Here is a 12,048-nt window from a genome sequence, read left to right on the forward strand (position 1 = left end):
TTCTTATAATTGTGCTTTAGAATTTTTCTACTTTTAGTTGAATACATTCTTACACATTACTGTAGCTTTCTTATTCCCTTCCCCTACCTTATCCCACTTAAGTCAGCATTTTTTAAACCCTGACTCTTATGATAAAATGACTAAGATTATCCCAGCCCAATTATTTTTATAATGCATGTAGTCTTCTGTTGATCTATTAAGTACTCTCAGACCCCACCAGAAAAATGCTGGACCTGGGCTTTGCCCTTACTGTGTAAAAGAGAAAGTAAAGGGCATGAGGAATAAGAAAGTTTCATCCTTCAATGATTAATTATTGTTATTCTCTAAAGGGATATGTCTTCTAGATATCATGAAACTTGAATATGTCACCTCTAGGATAGAGCTGATTTGATATAGGTTGAATTTTTAAAAGATATCAATAAATGGACCAATCCATGGGGATCTAAGAAGGAAAGAGGATGTATGAATGAGAAGTCAATAAAGACTGAAAAAATTCTCCTGAATATTACCTTATCAGGAAACCCTTACTCACAGGGCTTCTAATTTGCACTCCATAGCAATCCCTGACTCTCAACCCTTCTGACACTCGCTGTCCAGGTGAACCCATAGCCAAAGCCAAGGACATATCAACAATTTCGACTTGGTCTCTGGTCTCACTGGTCAACAGGCAAGAGGTAAGAGGACTGAGCATTCCCAAATTCACATTATCTGGTGAAGGGGGAAAGAGGGTATATTAAGTGGTTCTTGCATTGCTATAAAGACATGCTTGAGGCTGGGTAATTTATAAATAAAAGAAGTTTAATTGGCTTAAGGTTCTGCAGGCTTTATAGGACACATGATGGCATCTGCTTCTGTGGAGGCCTCAGGAAGTTTCCCCAGAAGTCAGAGTGGGAACAGTTGTCTCACATGGCAGGAGCAGAAATAGGGGTGTTGGGGGAGGATGCCAAACACTTTTAAAGGACCCGAGCTCTTGTGAACTCAGAGAGAGCTCACTTACCACCGAGGGGATGGCTCAAACCATTCATGAGGGATCCAGCCCCATGATCCAAACACCTCCCACCAAGCTCCACCTCCAGCATTGAGGATAACATTTCAACGTGAGATTTGAGTGGGGACAAATATCAAAACTATGTCAGAGGGAATGAAATTTTAAAATCTCCAGTGAGGGTTCATAAATAAAGTATTTAGTTATAATATTGCATGTGATTGCCTTCACGAATGCAAATGCTGTAAATCCTATATACACATTGAGGATGCTTTAGCATGATAGTCTAGAAGATTTTTCCCATTGTAATCATTTTTCCCCTAGGGAGAAATATTTTATGAATTGTAAAAAATGGATTTTAAAATTAATTGTAGTGAGAAAAACAAATTTATATATTGAAAACTGTCTATTGTATGTGTGTGTGTGTTGTGTATTGCTATACGTACATATATATAAGATATATAAGCTTATGTATATTTAAATTGAAGATGACTTATGGACAAAATGAGGGCACGTTTGGATTCTGTAAGCATTCTACCTTCTAATTTACTACTTCTTTTCTATACCTTGCAGACAGGCCTCTTGCCTGTATTTATAGAGGGCTCTGCTTCTACCAATAATCAAAGGATGATTTGAGGTCATAGACAAAAGAATCACAGATAATTAAGTATAACACTTTATTGATTAGGACAGGGTCATGCTTCCATTTGTCTGAGAAGAGAAGATAGTACACATTGTGAATAGCCAGGGAGTTGCCATACACTTTGAGGACTTCTAGAGAGGATATAGTGGGTAGGTGTGGTGTTGGCTAATGATTGCCAGGTCAGGTCTCTTCTCTCTTCTTCCTGGGCACATGGCTGAACAGCCACCCTTGTGGCCAGTTGAACATGGGAAAAAGTGAATGTGTAACTTTTAGGTCACTTGTCTAAAAGGAAATCACTTTCCTTGGACTTCTTATGTTTTCTTTTCCCTTGATTTGGAACATAGAGGTGTCCACATTCAGCTTCAACTCTGCAAATGAGGACACAGTCCTGGGAATAGGGAGCCCACAAGATGAAAAGAACTTGTCTGAACAAATTTATGGCCTGGAATTTCTACATACTTTTAAGCAAGATAAAAAATATGTATTATTCAATGTAAGGTGACTGTATTTTTTGATGTTTTGTGGCCAGTATCTTCACTAGTATAAACGGGCTCAGGATGAGTCCATCATGAAGAAGAAGAAAACCTCAGGGTTATGTGATTTTATGTGGTAGATATATCCCAGGCTTGGGTGTTTCAGATAAAAAGAAAATAGACCCAGCAAAAAACAGATAGGGCTATCTCCAGAAGAGATGAACATATTTAGAGAAAAGGTTGAAAGTCAAAGGAATGTGTAGAGCATAAAGGGGGGCTGGTAAGTAACTTTATGGTAAAGATGGGAGGAACTGATCTGAGGCCCTAGAATTCTACTCCTCAAACTTGAGTGTACAACAGAATCACTGGGAGAGCCTGCTAAAACAAACTTTCCTGTTAAAACTGGAAATTATTGCTTAGGCAGATTTTGAGCTGCTGACTTGTTTAATGGGCTGTTTCTGCCAACACCTCTGAAATTCATATTTCGGTATTTACAAGTGAACTTTTTCTACCATTCTTGGTCTGACAATCATATTATATATCTTGGTCTCTAGAGTTTGACACTACTGCACTTTGTCAGTGTAATTTTAAAATTTCTTTAAAGATAATAACTTTTTAAATGATATCTGAACATATGTCCATGTGGAATATGCACTTATTAAATGCTTTCGAAAGTCTGTTATTTAATTAAAATTAATTTGTATTATAATTCAATAGAGAGGTTAAAAGTTATAACACTCTGACAGTGAAAACCTGATGCCACAGGCTAATCATTGTTTTTCTTTTTAATAGCTACAATAGAATATGTACTTGGACTCAGGCTCAGAAATTACCAAACTGTCATAACTGACCCAAAGATGCTTCCGTAAGTGTCTTCTTTTTGCAACCATGAAAACTCTATGTTCTTTTTGCTTATTCCCCATTTTACTTACATGAAAATTTATTGTACTTTGTTGATTATTTCAAAATTGTCCATCTTGCCTAATAGACTCCTAGAAACCATAAATAACAGATCATGTATGTTGTATTCATCATGATATTCTCAATGCCTTACATAGTGCTTGGCTCACAGGAGGTCATACATTTGCTAAATGAATAAACTAATAGATGAATGAATGAGGAATAAATGAATGAGTAGGGAATTAACTAATATTGAGCATATATACATTTGTGTGTTACATATGTATGTATATTACATGCGTATATGTACACACACATACCACCTTGGACAGCACTGTTTCTTATAAATTTTACAGTGTTTTAACTGAAATTAGAAATTTCATTTCCCTATTAACATATATATGATTATATATATCATATATATCCACACACACACACACACATGTATGGACAATTATAATCTTAGTTCATACCTCCTTTGCCCAATTACCATTGCTAAGTAGTTCTATTTCTTTATATCCAGTTACTTATAAGGTTTACATAACCATTAGCTCTTTTAGTCTTGCAAGCTTGGGACACTTATTTGCAGTGTTTTGACCCTGCTGAAAGATTTTTCTGTTGGTTTTTGTCCTTGAATGAGACTATTTGGAATATGTCCTTTTGCCTTTTAGTTTTGGTTAAGCATGAATCTATTCTTTTGTAGTTATTTTTGCCTTTTTTTGGTTATAATAATGTTTCAGAAGCTTCTGTTCTTTTTCAAAAACCATTTGATCATGAGGGAATTGGAATGTTACATTTCAAAAATTGAATACCTCATCTTGAGGAATGAAAAGCTTTGAAAGGGAGGTATCCAATGTCCTTGCATTTAGACTAGAGCTGAGTCTGAGCTGACTTGAAAGCTGAGACATCAAAAGTATACAATTTAGCTCAGTTTTCTCAAACTAATCTTCAAGATACCTAAAATGCAAGCTTTGCTCATCTGCCTCCTTTCAGTTCCAACATCTTGTTCAATTTCTGAAACACAAGAACAAAGGTTTTATGGGAAATTGTTAGTTAATTGAACCATGCTTATTGTAAGAATGAAGGGACAAACAAATGGTAACAAAATTTGTGACAATTTTAGCATTTTTAACTTCTTTATCTGTAAATTTAAGTAATTTATATTCAATATACGTTTTCTTTGATTTATCGGATACTTAGTATGTTTAATTTTTTTTACCCAACATATACTAGACAATCTGATGGCTTACAAGAATGTTTAAATAATTATTTACACATCTAACCTTTTTTATTTTAATTGACAACAGAGTATTTACAGAACTTTGTTCAAGAAATCTAATATACTATGTTTTTACATCTTACCTCTCTTTTGTTTTTAGTATAAAGGTTTTCCAGTATGAATGTATAATTGCATGCCCTTTTTTCTAAAACAAAAATAAATTTCCACTGGGTAAATGATATATGTTCATTGTAAAATTGGCCTGAAAAAAAATTAATGTATTTCTTTAACAAAAACATGTTTATATTAATAGTACTGTTTAATCTTTTTTTCCAATCAGAATGGTCACTTTTATGTTTTTTTTAAATCAACTTTTCAGATCTTCCTCTGAACTTTATTTTTTTCTGAATATCAGAAATAACTCTTTCCTTTTTCATTAAGTTAAAGTTTAATCATTCTCGGAAATGACACTGAAGTTTCTGATTTTATGGGAACCATCTTTAGACGCTGTCATAATTTTCAGTTGGGTATATTGTTTATACCACTTTTTCCCACCTTTTAAACAGCAGATATTTTTAAGCAACTGCTATTTTCTAGTGAAGTTATAACTACTTTCAAGCGATTCTTATAACTTGCCAGCAAAATATATGTACATACAATTACAAAAGTATAGATTTTATTTTAAAAAATGAAAGCATTAAAATCACACAAATGGATTACTTTTAGTGACTGTGATAGTTAATACAAGGTGTCAACTTTATTGGATTGAAGGATGCAAAGTATTGTTTCTGGGTGTGTCTGTGAGAGTGTTGCCAGAGGAAATTCACATTTGCGTCAGTGGGCAGGGCGTGGTGGCTCGTGTCTGCAATCCCAGCACTTTGGGAGGCTGAGGCTGGTGGATCACCTGAAGTCAGGAGTTTGAGGCCAGCATGGCCAACATGGTGAAATCCCATCTCTACTAAAAATACAAACATTAGTCGGGCATGGTGGTGTGCACCTGTAGTCCCAGCTACTCGGGAGGCTGAGGCAGGAGAATCACTTGAACCTGGGAGGCAGAGATTGCAGTGAGCCGAGATCATACCACTGCACTCCAGCCTGGGTGGCAGAGCGACACTCTGTCTCAAAACAAAACAAAACAAAACAACACAAACACACACACACACGAACATTTGAGTCGGTGGACTGGGAGAGGCAGAACCACCCTCAATCTGGGTGGGCACCATCTAATCAGCTGCCAGCATGGCTAGAATGAAGCAGGCAGAAGAAGTTGGAAAGAGCAGATTTGCTGAGTCTTCTGGCCTCATCTTTCTCCTATTCTGGATGGTTCCTGCCCTCGAACATCAGACTCTAAGTTCTTTGTCTTTTGGACTTCTTCTATCGTGGAAAGGGCAGCAGTTTGTCCTCACTAGAGTGGACACTTCAGATATGGGTTTGGCTATCCTGCAAACAATGCTTCTGCCAAGGCTACCATCCATGGATTCATGGAATGCCTTATCCACTGTCACAGTATTGCATACAGCATTGCCTCTGACCAAGGCACTCACTTCACAGTTAACGAAGTGTGGCAGTGGGCTCATGCTCAAAAAATTCACTTGTCTTACTATGTTCCCCAACATCCCGAAGTAGCTGGATTAATAGAATGGTGGAATGGCCTTTTGAAGTCACAATTACAATGCCAACTAAGTGACAATACTTTGTAGGGCTGGGACAAAGTTCTCCAGAAGGCTGTGTATGCTCTGAATCAGCATCCTATATACGGTGCTGTTTTTCCCATAGCCAGGATTCATGAGTCCAGGAATCAAGGGATAGAAGAGGAAGTGGCACCACCCACCATCACCCCTAGTGACCCACTAGCAAAATTTTTGCCTCCTGTTCCCACAACATTATATTCTGCTGGCCTAGAGGTTTTAATTCCAGAGGGAGGAATGCTACTATCAGGAAATACAACGATTCCATTAAACTGGATGTTAAGATTGCCACATGGCCACTTTGGGCTCCTCCTACCTTTAAGTCAACAGGCTAAGAAGGGAGTTACAGTGTTGGCTGGGGTTATGGACCCGGACTATCAAGATTAAATCAGTCTACTACTCCACAATGGAGGTAAAGAAGAGGGAATTCAGGAGATCCCTTAGGGCGTCTCTTAGTATTACCATGCCCTGTGATTAAGGTCAATGGGAAACTATGACAACCCAAATCCAGGCAGGACTGCAAATGGCCCAGACCTTCAGGAATGAAGGTTTGGGTCATGCCAGCAGGTAAAAACCCACTACCTGCTGAGGTTCTTGCTGAAGGCAGAGGGAATACAGAATGGGTAGTAGAAGAAAGTAGTTATCAATACCAGTTATGACCACATGATCAGTTGCAGAAGCAGGGACTGTAATTGTCATGGGTACTTCCTCCTTATTTTATTAAGAATATGTTTGTGCATGTATACACTTGTACTAAGAAAATATCTTCATTTTATTTATTTTCTTTTTCCTTTATCATGTGACATAAAATTTATTGACTTCATATCAGCATTTAAATGTTAACTTTATGTAATAGCATTTAGGTTAAGGATTGGTGCACTTACGGTTGTACAAAGGATAGCCATATTATGTTAAGCAAAATTATGATCTTATTGTCTTGAAGATTGTGATTTTGTGAGAAGTGTGTGGGTTCAAGTTGACAAGAGGTAGACTTGTGTTGGTTAATATCAAGTGTTAACTTGATTGGATTGAAGGATGCAAAGTATTGTTTGTGGGTGTGTCTGTGAGGGTGTTGCCAGAGGAGATTAAAATTTGAGTCAGTGGATTGGGAGAAGAAGACCCCACCCTCAATCTGGGTGGGCACCATCCAATTGGCTGCCAGTGTAGCTAGAAAAAGCAGGCAGAAGAAGGTGGAATGAGCCGACTTGCTGAGTCTTCTGGCCTTCATCTTTCTCCCATGCTGGATGCTTTCTGCCCTGGAACATCAGATTCCAAGTTTTCTGGCTTTTGAACTCTTGGTCTTACACCAGTGGTTTGCCAGGGACTCTCAGGCCTTTGACCACAGACCAAAGGCTGCACTGTGGGCTTCCCTACTTTTGAGGTTTTGGAACTCAGATTGAGGCACTACTGGCTTCCTTGCTCCTCAGCTTGCAGACAGCCTGAGACTTCACCTTGTGATCACGTGAGTCAATGCTCCTTAATAAACTCCCTTTTGACTGGGTGCGGTGGCTCACGCCTATAATCCCAGCACTTGGGGAGGCTGAGGCGGGCGGATTGTCTGAGGTCAGGAGTTTGGGACCAGCCTGGCCAACATGGTGAAACCCCATCTCTACTAAAAATCCAAAAAAAAAAAAAAAATAGCTGGCGTGGTGGCAGGTGCCTGTAATCCCAGCTACTTGGGAGGCTGAGGCAGGGGAATTGCTTGAACCAGGGAGGCAGATATTGCAGTAAGCCGAGATCGCACCACTACACTCCAGCCTGGGCAACAGAGCGAGACTCCATCTAAACAAACAAACAAACAAACAAACAAAAACTCACTTTTACATATGCAATATCCTATAAGTTCTGTCCCTCTGGAGAATCCTGACAGTGACCTAGAGTTAGGGAATAATGTAGACTAGCATGCTTCAGTAACATTCAGAGATTTCAGTAGGTCATTTTGGTGCAGTGTAGTGGAGTCCAAGTAGAGTGACAATCTTACTGAGCTGTAAGTGGCAGATATTGCAATTCAAGGCTGCTGAAATGATAGAGATTTGCTGGGTGGTGGTACCAGGGAAGTGAAAGCTTTGTGTCTGGATTGGGAGTGAAGTCAGTTGTCTTTGTACATGTTCACTACTTTACTATGGGTTTTTGCCCAAGTGCTGGGTACTCATGAACAGGAGAAACTTCCTGGGCCTTAGCAGAGAGCAGATCCTTCAGGCATGAGAGCTGAACATAGCTACCAAATGTTGAGAAATGCTGGGAGGTATGGGAGCTCTGGCCTAGTTGGAGTGGAAAGACCTCACTGAAGATTCAGGCGTTTGGTTGAGACTTCAAGAAGGCCTAGCCTTGGAGGTAAGGAGCATGTCCTAGAGTAGCAGCCACACTGTAAGAGTAAGAACCAAACATAACCAGAACTACTCTAACAAAGAATAAATTCATGCAATTCAGGTTTCCAGGATTCTTCCATCTGTGTCTCTTTCTTTAATGCCTGACTGTCAAGGTAAGCATGCTTGTCTGGATCAAGCAGCTGGAAGGGGAAAAATAGGAGGATCACACCTGGGAGATTTTTAAGAGCCAGGTGTAGAAGTCTACATTATTTCCGTTCATGTTTCATTACCTAGAACTCAGGCACAAGCCCATGCCAACTCCATGGGAAACTGGGAAATGTGGTTTGGCTCTAAGGCTGTAAGAAATGGAATTAAATTTGGTGTGTAATTAGCCAATCTCTGAAACATTTACAATGCACACTGAAGTGGGGAGGGCCGGTGAGGAAGAGAGAGGAGCTGGAAAGCTTCCACTGTTGTGAAAACAAAGTTCATTTCAAATCTTCATCTGTTTCTACATCTGGGAAAGGACACATCCTGCTCAAGAATAACTGTTCAACACTTTCCCTACCATCATCAGGGAGAAAATTTCTAAGATTGTATGAACTTACATCAAGTGATCTTACTCTGGACATTGCTGCACTGGCTCCAGAAAGTTCATTTTCATGGAGCCAGGATCCAGCTGCATTGGTTTAGGATTGCTGCAAGTCCACATAGATGTAGCTAAGAGGGGCTCCTGTAGGCTCTCAGTGCCTGCTATCAGCAAGAGGTGGCTGAGAACCTGAAACTTTGCCTTTTCTTTGAGTACAAATAAGTGCCTAAAGTCCTTACTCATCCAAGCACACAATAAATCATACATAGAAACTCCACATACTTAATGGCCAGATATGTGTGATCACTGAGAGTTTGGTTTATGGATTTATATGAATGATTCAAAATAAATAATATGCATATCTGTGGGCAATAAATGTAAAAAAATTATGAAACATCAATAGATTTTCAAAAATTATCAGATACATTTATTGCTAAACAACTTGATATACCTTCTCTTCTGCTTTGTTCAGCCTGGCACAGGAATAAGGTAGGGAATGGTAAATAAGAGGAAGAGAGAAAGAAGATCTAGAAGATGGAAGTCAAAATGTCACAGCAGGCAGTGTAAAGGGCAGAAACAACCATTCTAGGTAAGCTCACAAAAATCTTCCTTTTGTCTTTATTAATGGCAATGATCCCATTTGTGTGGAACACTAGAGTGCATTTAGATTAAGTGTTCTCTTCAGCTTGATTCCTAAGCTCATCAAGATCCTAAGAGCAGAGAACTGAACGATGCTGGGGAGCTTATCCTGAGCTTTGAAGAGATTATCCCCCAAGTTCCCTGGCAGGCCTGCAGAAGGTGACCTGCCTGTTATCTCAGAACACTCCATACAGCAGAGATCATCAACACCATTATGGCCCTTACCGCCTGTAAATGCCTTAAGCAGCTTTAGATAGAAGATATATGGCATAGGCCTGCAGCAGAAAATTTCATCACCATGATTTCTCTGCTGGGCCCTTGTTTAGAAACATTGCTCACATCTTTGGGTTTGACGGGAAAACAGCAGCTGTTTTCTGATCATTTGGCCATCTGTTCTTTATTGCTTATATTATTAACATTTACAAGGGATAATTAGTATTTTAAAGTGACTAAGATGATTGATCAAGAAACACCCAACTATCTTTTACCATGATGCCTGGCTTAAAAATGTCAAAGGTAGCAGCAGTTATTTAATATATTAGCTCACTCTGAAATTGCAATATAGTCCACCTGATAAAATTCTCTCACTTTAATAATCAAGAAGCTATATATATATATATATATATATATATATATATGAGATATATCATATATATATCATATATATCTCATATATCATATATGAGATATATATGATATATATATAAAGTTCACTCTATTTAGTCCAATTTAATTTCTTCATGGTAAGTCCACATAAAGTATCTCTGACTGTTCCAGTCTATAACAACCTCTTTATCACTAAAAAGGTATTTTGAAATCCACCTAATATGTTAAAATGTATTATGATTATTTTATTTTACTTGTTTTTATATTCATTCTTAGCTCATTTTATGAGTTTAATGTCTTAATGATGTGCTTCTGTAAGGCTAGGAATGTATCTTATAATTTTACCCACTCACATCATCACATCATTAAAATATTGAGTAGTGGCTTGCCCTGAGTAGATATATTCTAAATTTGTAAGAACAGACAACTGTAGCATGGGCCAATTCTAAATAATGAAATGATGGCAGAGATTCTACTCTTGGATTTGAAGGGTGTAAATTGTTAAAATTGCTAGTTTATATAACTAGCAGTTATTGAAAGTCTACCAGGTACAGTCATCTTGCCTGAATTACCATAATACCCCTCAACTTCTCTTTGTGCCTTCAGCCTTTTCTTCTCCAATTCATTCTCCACACCACACCTAGAGTGAGTAATCCTTCTATAATGCCAATTCATTCATGTTTTTGCCCTGAGTATAATAATCTTCCAGTAGTTCCCCATTTATTTCAAGATAAAGTGAAACTTCTTGGCATGACATTCAAAGTTTATGATGATCTGGCTCCTGTAGGTCCCCCTGCCCATGCCATATTTTCTTTTCTTTTTAAATTTTACTTTAAGTTCCAGGATACATGTGCAGGATGTGCAGGTTTGTTACAAGGTATACGTGTGCATGGTGGTGTGCTGCATCTATTGACCTATCTTCTAAATTTCCTCCCCTCACCCCCATCCTGCAACAGGCCCTGGTGTGTGTTGTTCCCCTCCCCTGTGTCCCTGTGTTCTCACTGTTCAACTCCCATTTATAAATGAGAACATATGGTGTTTGGTTTTCTGTTCCTGTGTTAGTTTGCTGAGGATGATGGTTTCCAGCTTCATCCATGTCCCTGCAAAGGACATGATCTCATTCCTTTTTATGGCTGTATAATATTCCATGGTGTGTATGTACAATGTTTTCTTTATCCAGTCTATAATTGATGAACATTTGGGTTGGTTCCATGACTTGCTATTGTAAATACTGCTTCAATAAACATACCTGTGCATGTGTCTTAATAGTCGAATTATTTATATTCCTTTGAATATATTCCCCGTAATGGAATTGCTGGGACAAATGGTATTTCTGCTTCTAGATCCTTGAGGCAGCACTATACTCTCTCCCACATGGTTGAACTACTTTACATTCCCACCACAGTATAAAAGTGTTCCTATTTCTCCAAAGCCTTGCCAGCATCTATTGTACCTTGACTTTTTAATAATCACCTTTCTAACTGGTATGAGGTGGTATCTTATTGTGGTATTGATTTGCATTTCTCTAATGATCAGTGATGTTGAGATTTTTTTTCATATGTTTGTTGGCCACATAAATGTCTTTTTTGAGAAGTGTATGTTCATATCCATTGCCCACTTTTTGATGAGATTGTTTGTTTTTTTCTTGTAAGTTTGTGTAAGTTTCTTGTAAATCCTGGATATTAGATCTTTGTCAGATAGGTAGATTGCAAAAATTTTCTCCCATTCTGTAGGTTGCCTGTTCACTCTGATGATAGCTTCTTTTGCTCTGCAGAGGCTCTTTAATTAGATCCTATTCATCAATTTTGGCTTTTGTTGTAATTGCTTTTGGCATTTTTGTCATAAATTCTTTGCAAATGCCTATGTCCTAAATGGTATTGCCTAGGTTTTCTTCTAAGGTCTTTATGGTTTTGGGTTTTACTTTTAAGTCTTTAATCTGTCTTGAGTGAATTTTTTGTATAAGATTTAAGAAAGGGGTCCAGTTTTAGTTTTCTGCA

The 12,048-nt window shown here is 38.1% G+C and overlaps 1 long non-coding RNA gene across 1 annotated transcript; it reads left to right on the forward strand.

Annotated features, from left to right (window-relative positions):
• The first annotated feature begins 413 nt into the window (after positions 1 to 413).
• Positions 414 to 9,398, forward strand: LOC107986624 (uncharacterized). Its single transcript, XR_001744260.1, has 3 exons — positions 414 to 674; positions 2,894 to 2,966; positions 9,279 to 9,398. It is a non-coding gene; the product is annotated as an uncharacterized LOC107986624 (long non-coding RNA).
• Positions 9,399 to 12,048: the final 2,650 nt, after the last annotated feature.

The sequence above is a fragment of the Homo sapiens genome, chromosome 6, assembly GCF_000001405.40.
Source record: "Homo sapiens chromosome 6, GRCh38.p14 Primary Assembly".
NCBI lineage: Eukaryota > Metazoa > Chordata > Mammalia > Primates > Hominidae > Homo > Homo sapiens.